The 27,033-nt window shown below is 37.4% G+C and overlaps 1 protein-coding gene across 5 annotated transcripts in view; it reads left to right on the forward strand.

Annotated features, from left to right (window-relative positions):
* The window catches only part of WWC2 (WW and C2 domain containing 2), a 221,521-nt gene that overhangs the window by 102,048 nt on the left and 92,440 nt on the right, over positions 1-27,033 (forward strand). For all 5 annotated transcript variants that reach the window (NM_001410864.1, NM_024949.6, XM_024454225.2 and 2 more), the window contains 2 exons: positions 6,649-6,852; positions 7,645-7,721. In NM_001410864.1, coding sequence (NP_001397793.1) covers positions 6,649-6,852; positions 7,645-7,721 — 281 coding nt within the window. The remainder of the gene's footprint in view (positions 1-6,648; positions 6,853-7,644; positions 7,722-27,033) is intronic.

Consider the following 27,033-nt stretch of genomic DNA (forward strand, 5'->3'; position numbering starts at 1 on the left):
TACATCTTCTGCATATTTAAATATTTACATCTTTAAAATTAGTGTTTAAAATACTACTTTAGAGAAAGCTCAACTTTAGCCAGTGAGTGTGAGGCAAGAGCTCTAGGTCTAAAGCAGTGGTTGCACTGTGCCCGTCCGACTCAGGCCATTTTGTTGATCACCCAGGGCTTCTCTTGGCCTCAAAAGGACCCAGCCTTCACAGCCTGAATCACTTTAGCTTAGAGTCATCCCTTATCCCTAGAGGCCAGGTTAAACACCCACAGAACCAGTCTGGTCTCTGGAAATTCCTGTGGGCCAAGTCAGATGCCCTCTGACTTATTAACGAACAAATAACAAATAAATATAGCAGATTATTCTCTAGGTTTTGACTTGCTGTAGCTCTTGGGGCCAACCAGAAATACTTCGTTGGGCTGCATTAAGATTGAGATTACCAGGCAAAGCTTTTTGAAGACAGTATATGCCCCTGGGCATTCCAGAAAATTGATAGTATTTCTATTCTAATCTATCAGGAACAGGTTCTTACGTTCATATAGTGGCCAGCCCCATGGCCCATCTTGTTTTGATTATACCCAGGATTTAATTTATAGAGGTGACTGAGTGATGATGGGAAGAGGTCAGTGCCATTGAAAGAAGTTTTATTATAGTTCTCAAGGGAAGGGGGCATACTACACCATTCTGGGCCACATAGTGGGGAAGCGCTTGGGTTGGTTGGAAGGCAGAAGGAGCAGAGGAGAAATCATGGCCCAGAGCCTGTATTGTGGTTTCCTGGGGAAGGAATGAGTGAGGCAGGGTAGGCAAATCTGAGCAAGTTTAGGATTGGCTAGGTTGAATAATTTCGGCAGACTCTGGGTTATGGGAATGGTCTCTAGTTGTCCAGTATCTTCTCTGGGGGGTGGTGTAGGGCAGGGGAAATATTGGTTTGGAGTCTGAGTTAGATAAAAGAGGAGGTTAGGGATATGGGCTTTTGGACTGTTGGTTTACATATGAAGGATGGGCTCATGGGAGTCATTTGCTATCTCTAAGAATTAAATTAGCCCTGGGAGGGGCAGTCTCTTCCCAGACAGCAAGGCCCCCAAGACATCAAAGCATCATAAAATATATAAAATTTTAAAAAATGATCAATACACCATCCACTGACAAATGGAAAGTGCAACATTATGTGTCATACTAAGAAACTTTGAGAAGAAATATTTTCTTGATTGTTTTTCGGTCTCATCTGCTGATCTGCCCCTGACATCTTGTATAAATACATATGTGGTGGAGTGTGCAAATTCCACTAAAGGAAGAGGGAGCAGAGTGGATATAATTTTATAATTTATTAAGTTACAAGTCTCTTTTTTCTCCGGTGTTGCTGCCATGTGCACAGATTGAGGGGAAGTGTTGAGCATATGTATATATAATTCATTTGTTACAGCTGACTCTATCCCATTTTCATCAGCTGGTTCAAGCCAGGGTAGGTTAACATGGGTGCAGAGTGATCTGTGGAGCCTTAGTTCTAGACACAGATGCTCTCTGGAGTCAAGGCTGGGGAAAGGAATGTGACTTTATAATTTCTTTGCTTTTGCAATCTGAGTATCAGAGACAGTGTTATAGCTTACTAGCGTTAAAGGCTTTTTATATTTTGCAGTATCTCATTTAATCTTCCAAACAGCCCCCTGAATTAGCTCCATTTTATTAAGGAGGAAATTGAACCCTGGAAAGGTTTAAGAACCTGCTCAAGGTCACACAATTTGTAAATGACACACCTGAATTTGAACCCAGTTAGACTGAATACAGGGTTTATGATCTTAACTACTGGGATATTACATCTCAGTTCTTTTTTCCAGTATTCGTATTCTTATAACTTCCTCAGGACTCAAAATAATTCATTTGCTTTTTTTTTTTTTTTAAACTTTCATTATGACCTGAGTCTCAGTATTCTCAATGTACATTCCAATATGGAATCATTTTAATTATTCAGGTATTAGGTGGAAGGAAGAGTTATCCCTCCTTTTCCTGTTTAGTTTTTCACAATGCGGGTACCTCAGCCCTTCTGAGGTACCCGCATTATCACCCAGGTGGTAGTGCTACCATATCATTTTGTTTTTTTCTTCTTCCTCCTGCACCTCTGTACCTCCTCATCCCCTTCTAGTAATAAGTGCTGAGGTTCTTATTGGAACACTTTCCTTTTATATGTTCCATAGTCCTTCTGTATCCACTCCTTTCATTTCCAGTGTGGCCTGGGCTGACTAATGTACACTCTCTACACCCCTAAGAAAGGGGTTGTGGAACTCTGAGTGGGCTGTGGAAGTATTTTCAGGTATGATATGACATCAAGGGCTTAAAATCTAAGAGTACTGTTACTAATGGTACACAAAAATGATTTTATTGAGTCAGTTAGGCTGTGCCTTAATCTAATTTTGTTTTTACAATAACCAGAGCTGCGTATTTATTCAGTTCTCTAGTAGAATCTTAGAAAACAATTGCTAGAACTTGCCGTTACATTTCTCTATTAATGACAGGTTTATTTTCCTTTTTTGTTTTCAAGAGCGATTCTTCCTCTCATTTCTCCCCTGCCTTGCCCATACACACAGTGTTACTAAGAGCCGCCATCACAGGAGGGTATGAGTAGTACAGTCCAAGACCAAACTTCTTCAGTTTCCATTTGCATAGATTATACAAGGGTATGTTGGGTTGAGTTCTCTCAGAAGCAAACCCTAAGCCAAGAATTTAAGTGAAAGTGGTTTATGAAGGAAATCCCAGGATAAACCAGTAAGGAAATGAGGAAAGAAAGAAAGTGGAGGGAAAAAAACAGCTGAAGGTTTTATTTCTGCAAAGTCTCTGACTCCACATGATTGTGGTGGCTCTAAAGTACAATTTCTACCTCAGAGTTTGCCCTACCTGGGAGTTCTTTCTGTCTTCTTCACTTGTCAGTCATTGGCTGCAGGTGAGTTAGCGAAGTGCTCTAGAGCAGTCAGACATCCATCAACAACAAACAGCAGGCTGTGGCAGAAAGACCCGAGAATACCAGGATAGGACACCAACAGTGTCTGCTACAAAGGCTGCATCAGAAAATATTCGTCCATATTTCAGCCTCTTTTTACAATCGAGAGACATGAGAGTAAGAGAGGTAAAATACTTAGAGTCTCACATCTGGCTAGGTGGATATGGAACCCACACGGCCTTACTCCCTAACCAGTGCTCTTTTCAACAGCTGGTAGTGGCAAAGGATTTTATTGCTGTTCCATTATACCTCATTTCTCTTTATCAGTCATCATCAGTCATTCATTTGAACCTTGTAAAGCATATTTTAATAATAAACTGTAAATCAGCTTTATTATTATATACAAATACATAAATTGCATCTATTTTCACTATACAATTCATGAGTTTTGACAGGTGTATACCATGTAACTATCACAATAATCAAGATAGGGAACATTTCCATCCCCTCAAAAAGAGCTTTCTTCTTGCTCTGTTGTAACAAGTACTTCTCAGTACTGCTGGGCCCAGGCAATCACTTTCTGTCATTGGATTGGCTTTACTTTTGCCCGAATTTCATATAAATGGAATCATACAGCATGTGGTCTTTTGTGTCTGGCATCTTTTCACTCAACATGTGTTTGAGAGTCTTATATATTGCTGTTGAGTATTTTGTTTCATTTTATTGCTGAGTAGTATTTTATTGTATGGATATACCACAGTTTGCTTAGCCATTACCTGTAATAGTTTTGTCTATTATGAATAAAGCTGCTAATGAGCATTTGTTTAGAGGTCTTTTTGTAGATACATATTTTCATATCTCTTGGGTAAATAACAAGTTGTAGGATTGCTAGGTTGTATGGTAATTGCTAAGTTGTTCTCCAAAGTGATTGGACCATTTTAGATTCCCGGTAGCAATGAATGAGAATTCCAATTGCACCACATCCTCTTCAACACTTGGCATTGCCAGTTTTTAAATTCTAGCCATTTTACATAGTGAGCAATGGTATCCCATTATAGTTTTGACTTGTATTTCGCTGATAATTAGTGATGTTGAGTCTCCTTTCATCTGCTTACTGGCTATTTGCACAATAGTCAGTAGATGTGCAGGTTTATTTTTGGACTCTATTCTGTTGCAACATAGCTGTTTTATCTAGATTATGCTTATTCCATCCTTTCTACATTTCGAGATCTGTTTCTATTGACTGATTTTTCTCCAGATTATGGGCCATATTTTTGTGCTTTTTATGTTGGTAACATTATAGTGGATGCTAGACATTATAAAGTTGGTTTTGTTGTTGTTGTTTTCATTGAGTGCTAGGTTTTGTGCCTTTTAGGGAGTTTTATATTTTTTTTCTTCTGACCGGCAGTTAAGTTACTTGCTGACCAGCTTGGTCTTTTAGAAGCTTGTTTCAAAGCTTTGTTAGGTTAGGTTCAGAGTAGCCTTTACCCTATGTCTTATTTAGCTCTGTTGTTAAGGTGTAACTTTGCTGTGGTCTCCACTGGATTCCCTAGATGTTCACTGTGGCCTTTCTCCTCTGGCTGGTCATAATTTGAAACTGTCACAGCCCTGTGTGAGCTCGGGGAATTTATCTGCCTATAGCGTCCCAGTTGTCCTTTGCCTGGCCTTGTGCATTTCCCGTTGTCATCTCAGCATTCACTCACAGACTTCTTGTGACCCCTGTGCAAATTTCTGGAACTTCTCCAGTCTCTGGAGCTTCTACTGTGCTTTGCTTTACAAATTCCACCTGTCATGGCTTCCGTGAAATCTGCTTCCCTCTCCCTGCAATTCAGCAGTGCCTCCTTTCTCTGCTTGAGTTACCCCTCTTTGCACTGCTGTCCAAAAAGTGCTTTCAGACAGAAATGTAGGGTAATCGTGGGGTTCATTTCCCTTCTCTCAGAGATCACAATCCTGTACTACCTGTTGTCCAACATCTGAAAACCATTGTTCATATATTTTATCTTCTAGTTACAGTGGCCCTGTTATTCCACCATGGCCTTCTTTGTGTTTTGCTTTGTTTTTTAAAAATCTCTATTAACCTTTTGTGTATCAAGCTTCATGTGTTTTCTGTATTAAAGCCATACTTCTTTTTGTCCCAAATTATCCCCTGTTTGTGTTTGCTGTTGTTGGGAGTGGGGTCCACTCGGATACAATATCCTGCTAGAGACGAGATCTTAAGTCACAATACCATAGTTTTTATGCCTTTGAACTATTCCACTTTTATTTTAAAACATGTATTACTGAATACTACACACAGAAAAGTGCATAGACTGAAATAACATAGTTTAACAAATATTTTAGAAGTGAACTGTGTAATTTCGATGGGTGAAAGAAATAGAACATCAGCATCCAGGAAACCTCTTTTATTTACTCTGTCCCATTCTCAACCCCTTCCTCTACTGGCAAATGGCCACTCTCCTTTCTTTCACAGCAGAGGGGTCCAGTACATGTCTGCAGACACAGGGGGATAGCTCTTAACCAGCCTGCACTAACCATCACCAAAACTGTCCGTTCTCTTGTATACACCATGGTATCCCAATGCTGGACAGCAGTACACTCCAACTCCTTGGCCCAACATGTGGTCAAAAAATATGTTAATTTTAAAATGTGAGAACATAAAATGTTTAGGGTAATCTGATTCTTTCATTTTTGTTTTTCTTCATGTTTTGTGGCCCCTACTGTAGCTTCACCACACAGTAAAGAATGTGTTTGGAGTTTATAAACTGAGCATAAGCTGCCATGGAAGACAGAGGATAAAGGGCTGACTTGCAGATGAGGTGGCTGGGGCACCTTCTGGAGGAGGCAGCATGTGAATGCTGTTGCAGAACACTGGTTCTTGGGCTCGGCTGCTCAATGGAATCACCTGAGCAGCTTTGAAATCTACCGTGCCTGGGTTGCATCCACAGAAACTCTAGTTGGTCTGGGTTTTTTTTTTTTAAAAGGGTCTCTGGTTGATTGTAGTTTGTGGAAGTGCAGAAGCAAGAACCAGGGCCTTAGGCTAGAGCATTCTGTATAAACAGGACCAGGGTTCTGTTTGTTTGTTTATTTTTAAATTTCAGATCCACTGCGGACTCACTGATATTTTTGTAAAATACAAGAAAAAGTGAATTACTGGAAAAGTGAAAATGTATACACACAAAGAAATGCATAGTATTTATCAACAGATAAACAATAACTGACTAAAATCGCTATAATGATTACAAAATGTTTTCTATTTCTGTCATTACTGTTGCGGACATAAAACTGAGTTCATGGACTGGTGTTGGTCTGCAGAGTAGACCAACTTTGATTAGTGCTGATGCAGAGGGCAGTGTGTCTACAGTCCTGTATTAGGTGAATGAAGGTGGGTTGGGTCCAGCTTATGCAGGGCATTGAGTGCTGGAATGAATAGCTTGGCTTTTATTCTGTAGGCACTGGGGAGCCACAGAATTCTTGAATGATCTGATTGACAACATTGTGTGTGGTAGATTTATAGTGAGAATACACTGTTGATCAGAACCTGGAAGAGGAAGGAAGTTGATGAGACTGGGTAAAATAAAACTAAAATTTCTGGAGAAGTCACTCCAGCACAGCTAAATAAACTCCTTAGAGGATACAAGAACTTAAGCTAGCCTACTCCCTAAAGCTTAAACAAGCCGGAAAACAAAGTTAAATTCTAAAAAGTACCCTCCACCTAATGTTTTCAGAAACCACGCAGATAGAAGATCCAAGAAAACAATGGAGGGGGGAACAGGAGAAGATGCTCAAGGACTACCTCTCTGTGGCACAGGATGCCCTCCGGACACAGAAGGAACTGTACCATGTGAAGGAGCAGAGGCTGGCGCTGGCCCTGGATGAATACGTGCGATTAAATGATGCCTATAAGGAAAAGTCAAGTTCTCACACAAGCTGTAAGTACAGTGTGGCTATTCAGACTTTGGAAGTGGAGACTGAATTGTAGATAACAGAAGACCACTTACATTTCTATGGAGTTTAATTTTGAGTCCTTTTCCCTCCTAAGCAGGAAGAGTCTCTCAAAACCATTGAGAGGTGAGGGCACACCCCAGATTTTCTCACCCCTACTTCAGATAAAAGAATCCCTGTTTGGGGGTTATGCATGCCTTCTGTTTCTGCACCTGCCTCTGCCAGGTTGCCTTTTATGCATTTACGAGTTAATTTTTACCTTTTCAGAACAGTGCAAGTAGTTTGGCCCTTTTTGCTACTTTTGTACAATATTTTTAGTGGGGAGGAACTGGAACTATTACCTAGAGTGTAATTTCTGTTGACCATCTGAGTTGATTTACTGCTCCCTCATCTCACAGATTGACTATTTGGAGCTGGCTTTGTTTAAAGAAGCAGCTGTGATGAGCTCAGAAGTTCTGCTTAAATTATAAATTCCTTGATAATGCAAAACTCTGATATACTGCTGCAGTATAGTCCTCTGAGGACATAGTGTGTATAAAATCCAGAAGAAAATTAAGCACCAAGGTCTTAATGACATTTCTCTTTACAGAGTTAAAAAAAATGGTAGAGGTTTGAAGATAACTTTTTATATTTAGGTGTCTGATCAATGGCAATAAAGGAATTAGAAAGCAAGTATTCACAGAAGCACATAAATCTTGTTTTTAGCTTCAGTAAATTCTAAGCTGAGAACTAGTTATGCAACTTGTAAATAATTAGTTTTTCTTTTTTCTCTATAAAAGTATTCTCAGGATCTTCATCCAGTACTAAATATGATCCCGATATTTTAAAAGCTGAGATCTCCACTACAAGATTAAGGGTAAGAAGTTTTAAATTGTGGTTCTATGTTGACCCATATGCATAGAGTCTGAAGGCTGTGGAAGGGGCTTTAGTGATCAGTTCTCATCTCCATTTGGTGTAGAAAACTCCTCCCCTTATCTCTGATGAGTGGTCCTTCTACCTTGATGTGAACAAGTTCAGAGTGTGGGATAGTCTTTATTATTGAGACAATGTGTTCCACTATTGGGTAGTGTTTTGTTTGTTTGTTTGTTTGTTTTTTTGAGATGAAGTCTCACTCTGTCACCCAGGCTAGCGCACTGCAATCTCCGCCTCCTGGGTTCAAGCAATTCTCCCGCCTCAGCCTCCAGAGTAGCTGGGATTACAGGCGCGTGCCACTATGCACAACTAATTTTAGTATTTTTAGTAGAGATGGGGTTTCACCATGTTGGCCAGGCTGGTCACATTGGTCTTGAACTCCTGACTGCAAGTTATCTGCCCGCCTTAGCCTCCCAAAGTGCTGGGATTATAGGTGTGAGTCACTGCGCCTGGCCTATTGGGCAGTTTTATTGTTAGCAGTTAGAATATTGAATCAAAATTTGAGTCTTGTAACTTGCTTTCCCTCATTGTGCTGAGTTTTGTCCTCCAGAGTTAAGCCAAGTTGCTGTTTTGTCAGACAACCCAATATTTCAAGATGCCCACAACTTAAAAGTCTAAGTCAGACTTTACTAGGTGCTCATAATGCCTCATGGAGAGGTGTTTCCTGAATCTTGGCCTGAATCTTTTTAACTAAACTGATGTTAAGGCCAGAACTTGTTTATCCTTGATTTTTAGAATATTGAAGTCTGTTCACCAAGTAAATAAACTCATGTAACCAATACCCCCTGGTCATGAACTAGGTTATTACCGTGATTTCTCCTCATTAGTTCACCTCTCCATTAAGGTGGTACTAGCCTCATGAGCACTGAGGGTTAATTTTTCACCTGCTTTGAACTTCCTAAGACTGGATACCGTATGTGTTAATTTGATGGCTCGCCTTGCTCAACAGCATTTCGAGATCCACGTTCATTTTTGTTGCTGTATAGTGTTCCACTTTTGTGTACATACCATAAATTCTTTATCTCGTAATATTGATGTACATTAAAGTTTATTTCAATTTCTGATTATTAAAAATTATGCCTTAATGTACATATCTATTATGCATTATATGTGGAACACTTATATGTTGACCCTTAAAAGGAGATCAAATATACTGAGATAGAGAATAAAACAGTGGTTACCGTGGACCTCGGGGGTGGGGCGGAGGTGAGGGGAGATGAAATGGTGAGGTGTGGTTCAAAGGATAAAAGGTGCAGATATGTGGGATGAACAAGTCTAGAGATGGAATGTACAACATGAGGACTATAGGGAATAACATTGTATTGTATTAGGATTCTTGTTAAATAAGTTAAATAAGTAGATTTTGTGACAAAAAATGGTAACTGTGTGAGCTGATGGATATGTTAATTTGATTCACTATAGTAATCATTTTACTATCTCCATGTATGCCATAACATCATGTTGTAAGCCTCAAATATACACAATACAATTTATTTAAAAAAATACAACCATGGCTCACTTAACAACGGGTATACATTCTGAGAAGTGTATTGTTAGGCAATTCCCTTGTCCTGTGAACATCACAGAGTATACTAATGCAAGCCCGTATCATAGGGCTACTACACACCTCAGCTATATGGGATAGCCTATTGCTTCCAGGCTACAAACCTGTACCGTATGATACTGTACTGAGTACTGGAAGTACATATTGTAAGTACATTCAGTACCTAGAATTATAACACACAGTGGTATTTGTGTCTAAACTTATCCAATGGTAGAAAAGGCAGTGCGAGACATACCGTCTTATATGCAGGGAAATGTGGACATGTGGCACCTGACTGTACATATCTCAGTGGATACTGCCAGTTTCAGCCCTTCTTACTTGCTTATGTCTGCACTAAGTCTCTAAGTTACTTTATGCACAGGCTTTTGCCTACATCTCACAAGTTTTGAATTTTATATTTCCATTGTTATTCAGATCAAAGTATTTTCTAACTTCCTTTATGATTTCTCATATGAGTGCATTGCTTAATTTTCAAACAATTGGAGATTTTCTTTTATTATTGACATCAACTTAAATACATTGTATTTTTCAGTTCAAAAACTTATATTTGAACCTGGGTGCAGTGGCTTACACCTGTAATCCCAGCACTTTAGGAGGCCAAGGTGGGAGGATCGCTTGATGCCAGATGTTCAAGACCAGCCTGGGCATCATAACGAGACATAATCTCTATTAAAATTAAAAAAAGTTTTAATCTCAGAATTTCTATTTGATTATTTTTCAATTGTTTCTAGTTACTTGCCCAAATTCTGCACATTAATGTGTAATTTTTGAACACTTTGTCATCCTAGAGAGGATTTAGTTTTGTTTGTTTTAGGTAGTCAGGCCAGGGTCAGGTAATTTTAATATAATCATGATTTGAGCTGACTGTAGCCTGGGCTTCAGTCCTTCTCTAAGGGCGGGTCAATTTCCAGTTTCCCTTTTCTTTTAGGGCAAAGCTCTTCAAAATCCCAGTTGAACTCTTGAGGTGTTTTACCAGGGCCCCTTCCGTTCGATAGATGCTGAACTTCACGTCTCTTCCCTATGCCTTAGCTCTGTGCAGCTGCCAGCCCTTCTCTGTGTCTCAGGTGCTCAGTCACTGCATGCTCCCAGCCTTTCACTTTCTCTGTTGTGTGGGCAAATACCTCAAAAGCAGAAACAGTGCGATGTTTGGATTATGACACTGAGCTTCCCTTATCTTTTGGATTTTTTTTTTTTTTGGCGGAGTCTTGCTCTGTTTCCCAGGCTGGAGTACAGTGGCGCTATCTCAGCTCACTGCAAGCTCCGCTTCCTGGGTTCAGGGGATTCTTCTGCCTCAGCTTTTGGAGTAGCTGGGACTACAGGCACCTGCCACCACGCCCGGCTAATTTTTTGTATTTTTGGTAGAGATGGGGTTTCGCCATGTTGGCCAGGCTGGTTTCGAACACCTGACCTCATAATCTGCCCACCTCAGCCTCCCAAAGTGCTGGGATTACAGGTGTAAGCCACGGCGCCCGGCCTCTTTTGGATCTTTAACACAAGTTCTTGCTGCCTTAGTCCTCGAATGTCCTCAAATAGATGTATGTGTTTGTTTTCTCATAATTTTTCTATTTCTTTTTAGAAAAAGAGTATGAAAAAGGTTTGTCTACACTTACTGGAAGCAAACCTCTTTAGTTTGGATTTCTTTATTTATGAAGTCATCATTCTATGTCACTGTACAATAAATACCACTCCAGGGTGTCCTGGACCCTTTACTTTGTCAGTCCATCCATAATTCTCTGTTCTTGCAATGGTTTGTCAAATGCCTTGGTACTGTATCTCTGTACCGTGTCTATATGTTTGTTTCTGTGATCTACTAGGCTAGATACCTTATCTTACAAAAAAGGAAATGAAGACATTTTTGTCAAAACTTACTCTCAATAAACTCCAATACTCGAGCTGTGCACTTCTCAGCAAGTTATTATTACTTCCCTCTGAAATTTTCACCCTTTTCATAGTTCTTATCCTTGCAAGACACACTGTAAATGGAATAACCACAATAAGCTGTTAATCTGTATACTTAGATCCGCTAAGAAATATGCAAACTGAGGGAGAGATTTAGAAACAAAAATATATTAGGATATCTCATAAAACTAACCATTTAGAAGGAAATGGAGCCTCATCCCAATCAGGGGTAGCACAGGAAATCCCAAGTGGTCACATTCCCCAGAATTGTCTTCTAATGTAGCGGAATCTCTTAGATTAAGCTTCTTCTATGCCAGGTTTAGTTCGCTCTTAATATCAGAGGCCTATATTATATTATAACGTATAATATATATAATATTTATCACCTTGTGACCACAAAGATGAGTCGGAGAGAGACGCCCTCTTCAAGAAGGTGCTTCCCTCACAAAAAGAAGACAAGATATTCATACATAACTATAATAAAAGATCAGAAATGACACTGGCTTCATCCCTTTCATTAGTGCCTAGGTGCTTGTTTAATACTTCCTGGCACTGTGAATGCCTTTTTAGAAATGCTGCCATAGCAGATTGGTCCTCACAGACTGTGTTGCTGTTGTGATGTTTTGAGCTGTGTTTGAACACTTGGGCACAGATGGTGCGCTGTTTGGTATCTGTGTCCGTTTTGACCAGGTAGCACTTTAGGAATGGCCCAGCCATTCAGAAGTGGATGGGTAACTTGGCAGAGTCTGTTAGATTTTGATAATCTGGCCCTTCTTGGTTTGCGTACTCTGTTAAAAATCCCTTTCACGAATTAATGCCGTAGGAGTAGTAACTCTTGAATAAATTAACTCATCACTTTGGTGTTTTGGAAGACTTGCCTGCATTTTTGGTCACAATAACAATTTTTAAAGCAAAGCCAAACGCTAGTTTTATGCTTTAATGTTTTGTTGCAACAATATTAGCAGGTGTACCTCAGTTGTTTTACTGAATTAGTACTAGTAGGTCAAGTATTTGGGAATCATGTATTTAGAAGCACCTGTCTAAAATATATTTCATGTTATGTTATGGACATAGGTACTGATAATCATTGGGCTTGTTTCCTCTTTGGTCAAATGGGATAACAGTACTTCCCGATACCTTATTTTTATTTGTCAAAATGGTAAAATGAATGCATTAGTGCTTTTTATTAAGATACTCTTAACTTTTAAAGCTGGTGTTTAATTGCTTGAGAAAATCTCAATAGCCATTTTTTAAGGAAGAAGAATATAAACGTTTTACTGCAAAATTTATTATTTATTTAGAATAGATCTTAGACCATAGTCACCTTGGGTTAAAATATAAACTGTCTCATGCAAATTAAACTTTAAATTCAATTGCCGTTAAAAAAAAAAAAACACAATACCGAAGTTTATAAATAGGTGAAATTTGGTGAAAATTTTGTGGAGAAAGTTTTTGGCTAATTTTTATTACATTTTTACTATTGTTAAGCCTAAATAGAGTGTTAGAAATGTAAAAGAAAGTCTTTAGAAATACTAATGTATTTGAGAAGTGTATTGAGTACCCATTGCATGTGCTTTAATACAACTTTTAATTTTGTGAGAGTGAAGAACAAAGACCCCTTTGGTTAAACTATTTGCACCGCATTCCAAACACATAGCTGGCTAGGGGGCACTGTTATTAATAACAGTATACTATCTTTTGTTCTCAAGTATGTACTGCTCACACATTGTTAATATAGACTCACTTTGAATTCGTTTTAGCAGTGGTGATGAGCTTAGAAAAGTCATCCACAGTCTTAGCTATTTGTAATCTTGGAGACAGATTTAAAAGAATGGCAGTCAAATTTAAGGTTCAGTTTGTAACTGTGAGTAAAGTAATAATGTGCACATCAAAATATGACACTTTAGCTAATTATCTCACACAGCAAAAATCATATCAGTATTCTTCAAATAAAAAGAAATATGCTGGCCAGGCACGGTGGCTCATGCCTGTAATCCCAGCACTTTGGGAGGTCGAGGTGGGCGGATCACCTGAGGTCGGGAGTTCGAGACCAGCCTGACCAACATGGAGAAACCCCGTCTCTACTAAAAATACAAAATTAGCCAGGTGTGGTGGCACATGCCCGTAATCCCAGCTACTAGGGAGGCTGAGGCAGGAGAATCTCTTGAACGTGGGAGGTGGAGGTTGCGGTGAGCCGAGATTGCACCAGCCTGGGCAACAAGAGCGAAACTCCGTCTCAAAAAAAAAAAAGAAATATGCCTTTGGAGAATGTAAATTGCCGCAAATATTCTCTCTTGACTAGACATGAGAGATATCCTTATTCTCATACTGTGTTTACAATTTAGCTTACATTTCAAGTTCTTTCAGCTGTGACTTTGCTTTCTTTTAGGGTGTTGAAAGAGAATGATGCTAACTTGTAACACCAAACTGTAGATAAGGTTATTCTTAGGATATTTGGAAATGAATTTGTATTGTACAGTAGCTCCCCTTTATTCATAGGGCATATGGTCCAGGCCCCCCAGTGGATGCCTGAAGCCCCAGATAGTACTGAACCCATTGTATACTGTTTTCTCCTATACAGCCATACCTGTGATAAAGTTTAACTTATAAATTAGACATAGTAAGGGATTACGACAATGACTAATAATAAATTGAACAGTCATCGCATTATACTTTAATAAAAGTTATGTGGATGTGGTCTCTCTCTCTCTCTCAAAATATCTTATTGTATCATAGTCATCTATTTTTGGACCGCAGTTGACTGCAGGCAACCTAAACTGCAGAAAATGAAACTGTGGATAAGGGAGGACTATTATAGTTAGTGTTGGGTTAGAAAATAGTGCAACAGTCTTAGTGAATTTTGAGTGAAATTAGGAATGAGATGACTTGACTTACATTCGCAAGAAAAAAAAAAGCAAGACAGAAAGAAAATGAGAGATTCTCTTTAATACAGGAACTAGTGTTATCTAATATGACATGCTAGTAACTTGAAATAATTAAAATGTATAGCACAGTAGTGTCTTCTTTCAAAAGCATACCAGAATTTGAGTAGAGTGAACTTTAATACTTAATCACATTTATTGATTTTATAATGTTTTATTTCTCTCACTCTCTATGAGTTTGGCCTCCTTTTCTAGCTTTGAAGGGTATGAAACTGCAGGCTAAATATGTATTTTAAAAAAGAAATCATTCACTGGCACTGTGTTGTTGAGGAGGAGATATTTAGTTTCTCTTCACCTAGCTAAGCTACCATGTCAATCTATATACATCCTAATTCTTAAATGCCCTTATATCCATAATGCTTGTGGCATTTTACAATATTAAAAGCAATTAATTTTTCCTGTTAGAGAATATATAATCTGAGCAAACAGGATTGACAGGAAAATATCACTCATAAATGATCTATTTTAAATGATTCTATAAAGCCTACAAAGCTCATTTGCTCATATTTTGAAGGTCATAGGGTCTAAGCTTTGTGGAATGTTATGAGATAAAGATATAATGAATACATTCAAACCAACACTTCCTTATATTTTGGTACTTTTCTTTGACATGTACGCAATAAATACATTGACCTAACATGTTCACACTGAATTTTGAAACAACCTCCTGATGCCATGACAGTGAAAGTATGAAATAGCTATTTATTGTACATACGTTTTGCAATCTTCAGCAGCCTCGGGTGCACATTTATTTCTAGAGCTGAGGGTGGTAGACATAATACTCTCAGCTTCTACTTAATGAAGGCATCAGAATTTTAGCTCCTTCAAGATGTAAGGGAATAAAATTGTGTGATTCAAGAGTCGTCAGCTGGATGACAATTTTAGATGTGTCTTTAGAGAGAAGGTGATATTGGTGAAATAGGCTCAACAAGAAGACATTTTGCCTAAAATTCAGGCTGTCAAAATCATGTGGATATATTTTAAAAGATCCAGCTTACTTCTGTTTCTGTCCATGAAAGATTAACTACCACAAGAATTGCCCTCTAACAGCAGGTGATTAGAGAACTGGACAAAAATCTAGGAAACAGCTGTTTTCAGACTTCAGGTAACAGTAGAAGACTGTAATTCTTAACTGAAAGGAAACAGATGAAGTGAGCCCTGGGATTGCACTGTTTGCAGTATGAGGAGAAGGACCCAAACATAGTCTAGTGGTGTGCATGAGTTGATGAGACAGAAGAGAAAAGTTCATTGGCGGAGAAGTGGCTAGAATATATAGGAAATACCAGAGAGAAGGGAGCTACAGAGATAGAAGAGAGCAAGAGCAGGCAAGTGCCAGTCTAGAGATTTCTAGTAGGGTCTCCTCAAATCTTTGACTGAATACTGATTGAGTAGCCATGGTACACAATACCATGAGGCTGGAGAAAGAAAGTGATAGGGCAGTTCTCAGAGCTCACATAGGGCTGGGAATAGTTTGTGTTTCCATCAGCCAGCATAGAGACATAGAACCTTGAACAGAAACATCAGAAGGGTAATGCCATAGTAGTGGGACCAAATTAGTCTGAGGCTAGTGCTGCATTGGACTTCTTCTAACAAAAATTGAAAGCAAACATTGAAAGGATCAAATTGATTTAAAATAATTTATTTGTGTGCTAGAACAAAGTCCAGGATCCTTTAAGATAATACAGTAAAATCCAGCACCAAGAATGTAAAATTCACAATGGCCAGTATCTAGTCAGAATTTTTCATGTGTATTGGGGATGAGAGTAGTGTGGAGGGGCAAAAGAGGGCTTACCAAGAGGGCATCAGGAAACCTTTGGGAGTGTTGGGTATATTCTAAAAGTGTATTGACAGTTACATGTGTATATACATGTGTCAACACTTATGTATGTAGTTTAAACATATTCACTTTATTATATGCTAGTTATACATCAATAAAGCTGTTAAGAATGATCAGGTATGCAAAGAAGCAAGGAAATATGATCCACAACAAAAAGAAGAAATGACAGGTACAATTTAATTAGCAGACAAACATGTTAAAACATGTTATACATATGCTCAAGAATGTAAAGGAAAATGTGAAAATGGGGAGAAAAAATATATTAAAAAAAACAAAATGGAACTTCTACAGATTAAAAATACAATATCAGAAATAAAATAACTATATGGGAGTAACAGCTGATTATACATTACCAAATAAAAGATCAGTGAAGTTAAAGACATAGGAATAGAAACTACCGAAAATGAATTACACAGAGAAAACAAAGTCTGGTAAAAATTTATCAGCATGTCAGTGTCCTGTGGTTCAATATCAGATAGTTAGACATGTGTAATTAAAGTTCCCTAGAAACAGCAGGGGAGGAAATCACAACAATTATTTGCAGAAACTGAAATTATTAATCCATCAATATAGGAAATTCAACAAACCCAAGGCAGAATGAAAAAAAAAGATCATACCAAAGCACATCATAATCATATTGCCAGAAATCAATGGTAAAGAGAAAATCTTAAAAGTAGCCATAGAAAAAGTCATTATGTACAGTGGAATAAAGATAAGAATTACAACAGACTCCTCATCAGAAATAATACAAACTATAAGATAGTGGAGTGGTATTTTAAGAGTACCAATACTAAAAGAAAAACTGTCAACCTAGATTTCTATACGTAGTGAAAATATCTTTTAAATTGAAGGCAAAACAGCCAGTATAAAAATGGGCAAGAGACTTCAATAGACATTTCTGCAAAGATATACAAATGGCCAATAAGCATATGAAAAGATGATAAACATCACTAGTCATTAGGGAAATGCAAATCAAAATTACAAGGAGATATCACTTCACACCTATTAGGAAAGCTATTACTTAAAAAAAAAAAACAACTGACTAACACAGGTTGGACATTGGTATATAAGTATCTGTTTGAGTCTCTGCTTTCGGTTCTTTGGGGTATATATCCAGAAGTGGAATTGTTCGATCACAAGGTAATTCTAAATTTAACTTTTTGATATATATCTATATAGATTTTGATACATATCTTCTAATCTAGGAAGATATTTGTTATAAAGAATTGGCTGACACAATTATGGAAACTGGCGAGTCCAGATTTGCGGCATGGGCTGACAAACTGGAGGCACAGGAGAGCCAGTACAGTTCCAGTCCAAAGACCAGCAGCCTGGAGACCCAGGAAAGCTGATGGTGCAGATGAAGTCTGAAGGCTGGCAGGCGGAGACCCAGGAAAGCTGGCAGTGCAGATGAAGTCCAAAGGCAGTCTGTTGAATTCCTACTAGGTTAGAGAGGTCAGTTTTTTTATTCTGATCAGGGCTTCAACTGATTGGATGAGGTATATTCACATTATGGAGGGCAATCTGTATACTCAGAGTTCACCAGTTTAAAAATTAATCTTATCCAAAAATATCCTCCAAATTGACACATAAAATTAACTATTACATACCTACAACCTATGTGTCCATCACAGGTAAATGTCAACAAAATATGGCATATACATATAATGCAATATTATTAAGCTTTAAAACATAATGAAATTCTGGTACATACTACAACATGGATGAACCTTGAAAACATTATGTTAAGTGAAATAAGCCAGACACAAAAGAACAAATATGATTCATCTTATGTAAGGTACCTAGAATAAGCAATTTCATAGACACAGAAAATAGAACAGTGGTTACCAGGGGCTGAGGAAGAAGAGAAAGGAGTTACTGTTTAATAGGGACAGAGTTTCAGTTTAGAACAATGAAAAATTTCAGGAAATGACCAGTGATAATGGTTGCACTTAATACCACATGATTGTATACTTAAATGGTAAGTCTTAACATTTATATTTTACCACAAAAATAAAGAATAAAATAATTTTTCAGACAAACAAGAGAACTGAGTGCCTGCAGAGCTGTAACATATTAGATGTTAAAGGTAATGTCTTCAAGCAGAGGGAAAATGATACCACCTGGAAATTTGGATCTAAATAAAATAATGAAAAATGTTAGAGATGATACATATTCAAATACAAGACTTTTTAAATAATTTGAAGTCTCTTTAAATAAAAATGCCTATTTAAACAAAGATAATAAAATAGGTTGTGAGGTTTATAAAATATTTAAAAGCAAAATATAAGACATCACAGAATGGGGGAGAACGGAAGGATGCTGTCATAAGGCACTTTGACTATTCATAAAGTAGTGACTTTTATTGGAAGTAGACTGCACATTTTATACATTAGAGCAAACTTTTTCTATAAAGATCCAAATAGTAAATATTTTAGATGTTGCAGGTATAGTAAGCAGAATTCTAAAATATTTTCCAATCCTCCAAGGTTTTCCCCTCCCCCACCTTTCCTAGTATGCATGCCTTTCATAATTTCCAGGCTGAATATGATTCATTATTTAATATGGCAGAGTTAACTTTAAGATAGAGAAATTATTCTGGGTGGTAGAGAAATTATCCTGGGGAACTGGAGGTAACACACAAGCCCTTTAAAGACAGAATTTCTCTGGCTGGTTGTAGGGGAGGACATTAGATGTCAAAGCATAAGAGGGTTTAAATGTACCATTGCTGGATTACAGAGGGAGAGGCCAACATGGGAAGAAACTGAGAGCAACCTTGACTGATAGCCAGCAAGGAATACAAGTCTCAGTCCTAGAGCCACAAGGAACTGAATGCTGCCAAAAGTGAGAATGAAGTTTGGAGTGGATTTTTCTGCAAAGCCCCAGATGACAACTCAGCCTGGCTAACACCCTGATTTCAGCTTTGTGATAATTTGACCAGAGAGCCCAGAGAACCTAGTGAGCTATTAAATAATTGTAATTAATTTTAAGCTGCTAAGTCTGTGGTAATTTGTCCTGCAGCATCAGAAAACTCATATAGCAGGCCATGTGCAGTCTCTGGTGCAGATTTTTGCTCTTTTTTTCTACTTTTCTTGGATAATAGTTAAACATTTACAAACCTTTATTAACTTGTGGGCCATAAAACAAAAACAAAAATCAGGCCACAAGATGAGCTGTCATTTGCTGATTCCTGCCCTAGAGTATCCACTTTAAAAAAAAAAAAAAAAATGGCCGGGCGCGGTGGCTCACGCCTGTAATTCCAGCACTTTGGGAGGTCAAGGTGGGCAGATCACAAGGTCAGGAGATTGAGACCATCCTGGCTAACACAGTGAAACGCCATCTCTACTAAAAATACAAAAAAGTAGCCGGGCGTGGTGGCGGGCGCCTGTAGTCCCAGCTACTCGGGAGGCTGAGCCAGGAGAATGGCGTGAACCCGGGAGGCGGAGCTTGCAGTGAGCCAACATCGTGCCACTGCACCCCAGCCTGGGCGACAGAGCGAGACTCCGTCTCAAAAAGAAAAAAAAAAAAAAGGTAACACTTTTAAGCCAATAAAGGAGATAAAATGGAACCATTAGAAAAAATTTAGTTAACCCAAAAGAAGGCAAGAATAGAGGAAGAAAATATGACAATAAGAAAGCTAATATACTAAATGTATTAATAAATGGCCTAAATGCTCCAATTAAAAGGCAAAGATTATCAGAATGGTTAAAACAAGACCCAATTTCATGATAGCTGCAACAGACCTACTTTAAATATAAAGGCCTAGATAGGTTAATTAAAATATTCAAGAAGATATATCATGAAAATACAAATCCGAAGAATGTTGCAGTTGTCATATTAATATCAGACAAACTAAACTTCAGAACAAGGACTATTACTAGAGATTTTATAATCATAAATAGATCAGTTCATCAAAGGACATAAGAATCTTAAAGATGTATGCACATGCTAACAGAGCTTCAAATACCTGGAATAAAGACCAATACAACTGCAAGGTGAAGGACAAATCTCTAATTATAGTTGGACATGATAGAATGTGTAGTCAGATAATCAGCAATGCTGTCGAAGATGTAAACAATAACAGACCAACTTGATCCAATTAACATTTATAAAATAGAACACACCATTTAAAAACAGCAGAAGTGCACACGGAACATCACAAAAGTAATCCTTACTCTAGAATATGAAAAGAAGTCTCAGTACATTTAAGGGGACTCAAATGCATAGAGTATAACTACAGTGGAATTAAATTAGACATCATAAACAGAAATATATCTGGAAAAATTGTCAAATACTTGGAAATTATTAGCATACTTCTCAATAATTCATTGGCCAAAGAAGAGAGCTCATGAGGAACATTTAAAAATATTTTGAACTAAATAAAAGGGAAAATACACTGTATAAACATTTATTGGGTATAGCTACAGCAGTGCTTAATGGGAAGCCATTAGCAAATGGAAGTCTCATACATTGCTATGGGAATGCAAAATGGTACAACCCTTTTGGAAAGCGGGTTAGCGATTTCTTACAAAGTTAAACATATTTAACATACTATCTAGCAATCACACTTACAGGTATTTACCCAATATAAATGAAAGCATATACCCATACAACGAATTCAGTGTAAATATTTATGAGAGCTTTATGCTTATTAGCCTAAACTGGGAACCAGCCTAAATGTCTATCAATAGATAAATGGATAAACAAATTGTGATATATCCATAAAATGTAATTTAAAAGGAACAGGTTACTGATACAACATGGATGAATTTCAAAAACAGTGAAAGTTTAGTGGTTGCTAGGGGCCAGGTAGAGATAGACTATAAAGAGGCGTGAGGAAATATTTTGTTGTCGTCCTGGTGGTACATGATTATATATACTTGTCTAAACTCATCATATTGTACATTTAAAATTTGTGCCATTTATTATAAATAAATATGGTTAAAATACCATTTTCTATGTGGGAGGAAAAGATTCAGATGAATAATTATTAGAACTAATAAATAGAATCTATATGTATTTTATATATATGTAAAATCTTTTAACATATCTATGATAGCCATTCATAATATATAAAATTAAAAAATCATATTCACAATAGCAAACCCAAATCATAAAATATCTAGAATTAACTTTTATCAAGAAATATAGTGGTCCTATCTAGAGAAAATTATAAAACATTTTTGAAGGATATAAACAAATTTTAATAAATGAAAGATATTTTAAAAAATAGAAACAATATAAGGATGCAATATCAAAATCCTAATTTGGGGATGTAGGAGGGGGAACAAGAGAGAAATTTTCAGAATATCATCTGGACATGTTACTAGAACAAATTTACCTTACATATAAAAATATGTGGCCAGGCGTGGTGGCTCACTCCTAGCACTTTGGGAGGCTGAGGCGGGCAGATCACTTGAGGCCAGGGGTTTGAGACCAGACTGGCCAACGTGGTGAAAACCCATCTCTACTGTTAATAAAAATACAAAAATTAGTCGCATGTGGTGGTGCACATACCTGTAGTCCCAGCTACTCAGGAAGCTGAGGCACGAGAATCACTTGAACCTGGGAGGCAGAGGTTGCAATGAGCTGAGATTGTGCCACTGTACTCCAGCCTGGGAGACAGAGTGAGATGCTGTCTCAAAAAATAAAATAATAAAAATATAGTTACGTGCCAAATAAATGACACTGCAGTCAATGACAAACCACATATATATGATGGTAGTCCCATGAGATTATGATGCCATGTTTTTGCTATACCCTTTCTATCTTTTGATATGTTTAGATACACAAATGCTTACAATTATGTTACAGTTGCCTACAGTTTTCAGTACAGTAACATGCTGTACAGGTTTGTAGCCTAAGACAATAGGCTATGCCAAGTGGCCTAGGTGTGTAGCAGGCTATGCTATCTGGTTCTGTGTAAGTGTACTCTGTGATATTCACGTGATAGCAGAATTGCCCAACATCGTATTTCTAAGAGTGTAATCTGATGAAGTGACACATGACTAAACTTTATTATGGGAAATACTAAACAATATACATGAGTAGAGAGAATAGTATAATTTTCTCCCATATTTCCGTCACATCTCATCCATTTTATCTTTTACTTTCAGCCTACCCTCTGAATTATTTTCATGACAACTTGAAATAGTGTATCATTCACCTGTAAACATTTCAGCATGTATTTTTAAAGCTAAGAAGAAAGTAACTACAATGCCATTATTATTTTGGAAAAGTTAACTAGAATTCTTTATTGCTGTCCAAATGCCTTATCAATATTTATGTTTCTCATTTGTTTTTCTATTGGCTTTTTTGAATCAGGGTGTAAATATGGTCTATATATTGCAATTGGTAAATATATTTCTGAAGTCTAATTTTATTTTATTTTTTATTTATTGTCTTTTTTTGAGACGGAGTCTCACCTTGTCTTACCCAGAAGTCTTACCCAGGCTGAAGGGCAGTGCGGCAATCTCGGCTCACTGCAACGTCTGCCTCCTGGGTTCAAGTGATTCTCCTGCCTCAGCCTCCTGAGTAGCTGGGACTATAGGCACCTGCCACCATGCCCAGCTAATTTTTGTGTTTTTAGTAGAGACAGGATTTAGCCATGTTGGCCAGGCTGGTCTCGAACTCCTGACCTCAGGCTATCCCCCCCACCTCGGCCTCCCAAAGTGCTGGGATTACAGGTGTGTGCCACCGCACCCAGCTGAAGTCTAATTTTAATCGCCCTCTTTTCTTTGTAACTTAAAACAAAACAAAACAAAACTAGGTCATTTGTAGAATTCCTCGCTGTCTGATTTTTGTATCTTACATCCCCATGGTGTACTTAAATTCCTTTGTTCCTATAATTCCTGTAAATTATTAATTAGATGTAGAGGATTATGAGATCTAGTTTTTTTGGGGCGGGGACATTCACCATGGGTTGTGCTGTATATATCCATCATGAAGTGCATGTCTCTTTTTTATTGTAGTAGTAATTTATCGTCTAGATTTGTTATTTCGTTAGGGATTGCAAAAATATTACAGTCTAAGTATACCATTCCTTATTTATTTATTTATTTGTTGGAATACCTCTATAAAGAGAAACTTTCCCCCTGCATCACCACTTCTGTTTGTTATTTACTGATCCTCAGCTCATATTGGAAAGATAGATGAAATTATAAACTGTGCCATATCTCTGTCTAGCACCTGCCAGAGATAACCAACAGAGTTGAGGTTTTTGTTTAGTTTTGTTTTTGTTTTTTGTTTATTTTTTGAGACGGAGTCTCGCTCTGTCACCCAGGATGGAGTGCACTGGCGCCATCTCAGCTCACTGCAACCCCTACCTCCTGGGCTCAAGTGATTCTTGTGCCTTAGCCTCCCGAGTAGCTGAGATTACAGACATGTGCCACCACGCCTAGCTAATTTTTGTATGTTTAGTAGAGATGAGGTTTCACCATGTTGGTCAGGCTGGTCTCAAACTCCTGACCTCAAGTGATCTGCCTGCCTCAGCCTCTCAAAGTTCTGGGATTACAGGTGTGAGCCACTGCACCTGGCCTATTTGTTTAGGTTTTAAAGTATCAATTTGTGCTCACAGATTTAAACATAACTGACATGTTTTAGGTCATTGTAATTATTATGCTTATTGATCCACAACTTTTCCTATCTTGTGATAATGGAACCTCTTTATGTTGACTCCTCATACCTTTGATCCTAGTATTCTGAAAGTTTTCTTTTACTCTGGCCTGAAAAGATGTTTTTGACTTTTTTTTTGCACTAGACCTGGAATCAGACATTTATTCAAGAAACTCTTTTTGTAAAATGTTGTATTTACAGACCATGCTCTATATGCATGAGTGTTTATTGCAACTGAATTGGCAATAAAATTGAACTTGTGTGTAAGTTCTTATCTTACTGTATTTAAAATACATACATTACCAGTAATTACAACAGTGTGATAGTGACACAAAAATAGGAAGATCAATGGAACTGAACATCCACAAATAGGCAGAAACATCTTGTTGAATTTAAAATATAATGAAAGTAGCACTTTTTATGATTAGAATAAAACTGGATTATTCAGTGAATGTGTAAGGATATCTCTTTGCCCATGTTAAAAGAAATTAAATAAAGGTGAAAAGAAAATAAAGGTGAGTCCCTACCTTACTTTTTGTATCAAAGTAATTCCAGATGGACCAGTAATTTAAACATGAAAAGTCCAATCATGAGCTCATTTAAATTAGTCACAAAACATTTAAAGAAAAGATCGAGAAAACAATGGGGGAGTAGCAGACAAAGCCAACCTGCTGGTAAGACATTTTAAAAATCAAATGCAATAACTAACAGGATGAGAAGCCTTTAGTCGTTCATTCATTAAGCAGTTATTTATTTAGTGCTTCATGTATGCCAGACACTGTTTTACACAAGTGATGTAGCAGAGAACAGATACATTTCAGACACTATTCTAGGCAGTGAGATGTAGCATAAACAAAACAAACAAAAGTAACTGCTCTCATGGAGCTTATGCTGTATTGGGGTGGGGAGATTTGAACAACTAAGTTAATAAGCTTGGTCTAATGGTTGTATGTGGAGCCCACCAAATATTGAATGCAGATTTCTTTCCATTACTCATAAAAATTAACCACATGCTAGTCATAAAGCTGCCCTTAAAAAATTAATACAATGGATTATGAGCATACTGTCCAGCCTGGATGCCAGCTAAGTTAGAAGTCAATAACAAAAAGCCGAAAAATGCAGAACTCGTCTGTGAAACTTTTCTTTTCTTTTCTTTTCTTTTTTTTTTTTTTTTTTTGATACAGGGTCTCGGCTCTGTCATTCAGGCTGAGTGCAGTGGTGGAATCACGGCTCGCTGCAGCCTCAGCCTCCCAGACTCAGATGATCCTCCTGCCTCAGCCTCCCAAGTAACTGAGACCACAGGTGGTATACTACCATGCCTGGCTAATTTTTGTATTTTATGTAGAGACAGGATTTTGCCATGTTGTCCAGGCTGGTCACAAACTCCAGGGCTCAAGCAATCCACCTGCCTTGGTCTACAGGAAACTTACACATACTTTCAGTATAATGCATGGGTTAACAAAATTAAATAGAAATATAGAAATAGAATTAAGTGGTCATAAAAATACATATAAATTTTGTAGGCTGCAACTAAAGCAGTTTTTAGTAGGGAATTTATATAGGCTTAAAGAAGAATACTAATAATAACTAAGCTTTGCATTAAAAATCTTAAGGAACAGACTAAACTGAAAGAAGACAGGGAGAAATAGAGATAAAGACAATAATTAATGAAAATTTTAAAATGGTTACAATAGAATAGCTCTGCAATATTTAAAAGCTAGAAAACAAACAAACAAAAAACACCAAATCAGGCTTTGTCAGGATTTCACAAGAAGAGAAGAGAGAAAGCACCAAAAAGCCAACATTAGGGGACTTTTTTTATCCAACCATTCAGTGGACAATATGTCCACACTGTATGTCTCCTTCTAGTGATAACTAAAAATTGTGAATGTAATATAAATGAAGATAAATGCAAGTCTGGATAAGGTAGAAAGAAAGATTTCATAGAGACTGTACACCGGGTTCAGAACTCAGAATAGTAAGCAGAACACTAAAGCTGGCTTTGCCCTGAGGAAATTTGATAAGCTAGGTGCATATTCCCTTCTATTGTGTCCCTTTCTTGGTCTCATGGTGACAGACCCCAGCTGCATCAAGTGGGGACTCAGACAGTCACTAAACCTTCAGTGTAAGAATACTAGAATTAAATTCAGCCAGCCCAACCACCCTAGCATACCTCCCACCACCACCACCACTACTTGTTGAAGACAGCAAGAAAGGTTGCCTATCTAGAGCAACAATGCTAGGTAGATAAAGGAGGAAAAAAAACATTGGGACCGTTGGATTTATCACCATCAGATACCCCTGAATTCACATTTACCTGGATGGTCTGAAAAAGCCCAAGCTAAACACTTAGCTGTGACAGTTGAAGCAGTGACAGATGGTTGTGCCTCCAGTCACTTGCAGATGCACGTCTTCTCCAGAGTAATACACCTTCAACTAGTGCTTTCAGTAGGAAAGTATGAACGCATAGCCCAAATCACAGATGTACAGAGAACAAAGAACTGGCAGGATAAAAAGAACAGACAATAGAATTTGATCTTCAGATGCTTGAGATTTTTGAGAAATTAGAGAAAATACAAAATATCCATGTTTAACATGTTTTTAAGAAATAAAAAAAGAGATTGGAAATATAAGTAAGGAAGATACCATGAAAATTATCAAGAAAATACGGAAACAAACTAAGTAGAAGTTCTACAAATTAATCACGTAATGAATTAAAAATCAAAGCTGGTGGGGAATTATTTGCAAAGGTCCAAAATTAGCAAGTAATAGCTTATTTTTTCATACCAATCGTGTTTTCTTATACCTTCAGTGTTCTATGAGAAAATAACCATTAACCAGAATGTTATACACAGCAAAACATCTTCCATACATATAGGTGAAATAAAGACATTTTCAGACAAAATTTGAGAGTAATGTATGGCATCAGTTGTTCACTATATTACTACAGAAAGCAGGAGAGGAGAGAAAAGAATAAAAAATACAGGGCAAATGAGTCTAATATAAGATGATAAACGTAAATCTCAGTGTATCAATAATTAGAATTAAGTGTAATTGGATTAAATGCTCTAGTTAAAAATACAATGGTTAAAAGACTGGATTTGGAAAGAAAATCTACCTATATGATACTTAAAGAGACACCTAACAACAAAGATACAGAAAAGTTAAAAGGACGGGAAGAAAAAGATATACCAATCAAATCCTAACAGAAAAACGCTGGTATACACAAATAAATAAGTAAATAAAGCTTTGTTAATGTCAGAAGTGATAGATTTTATGGCAAAATGCTTTACCGAAGAAAAAGGACCATGAGTCTGTAATGTGTCCGTTAAAATGTGGGCCCCAAAATATATAAAGCAAAAATTGGCAGAAAATCCACAATCATAGTGAGAGATTCCAA

This window comes from Homo sapiens, chromosome 4 (genome assembly GCF_000001405.40).
Source record: "Homo sapiens chromosome 4, GRCh38.p14 Primary Assembly".
Classification (NCBI taxonomy): Eukaryota; Metazoa; Chordata; class Mammalia; order Primates; family Hominidae; genus Homo; species Homo sapiens.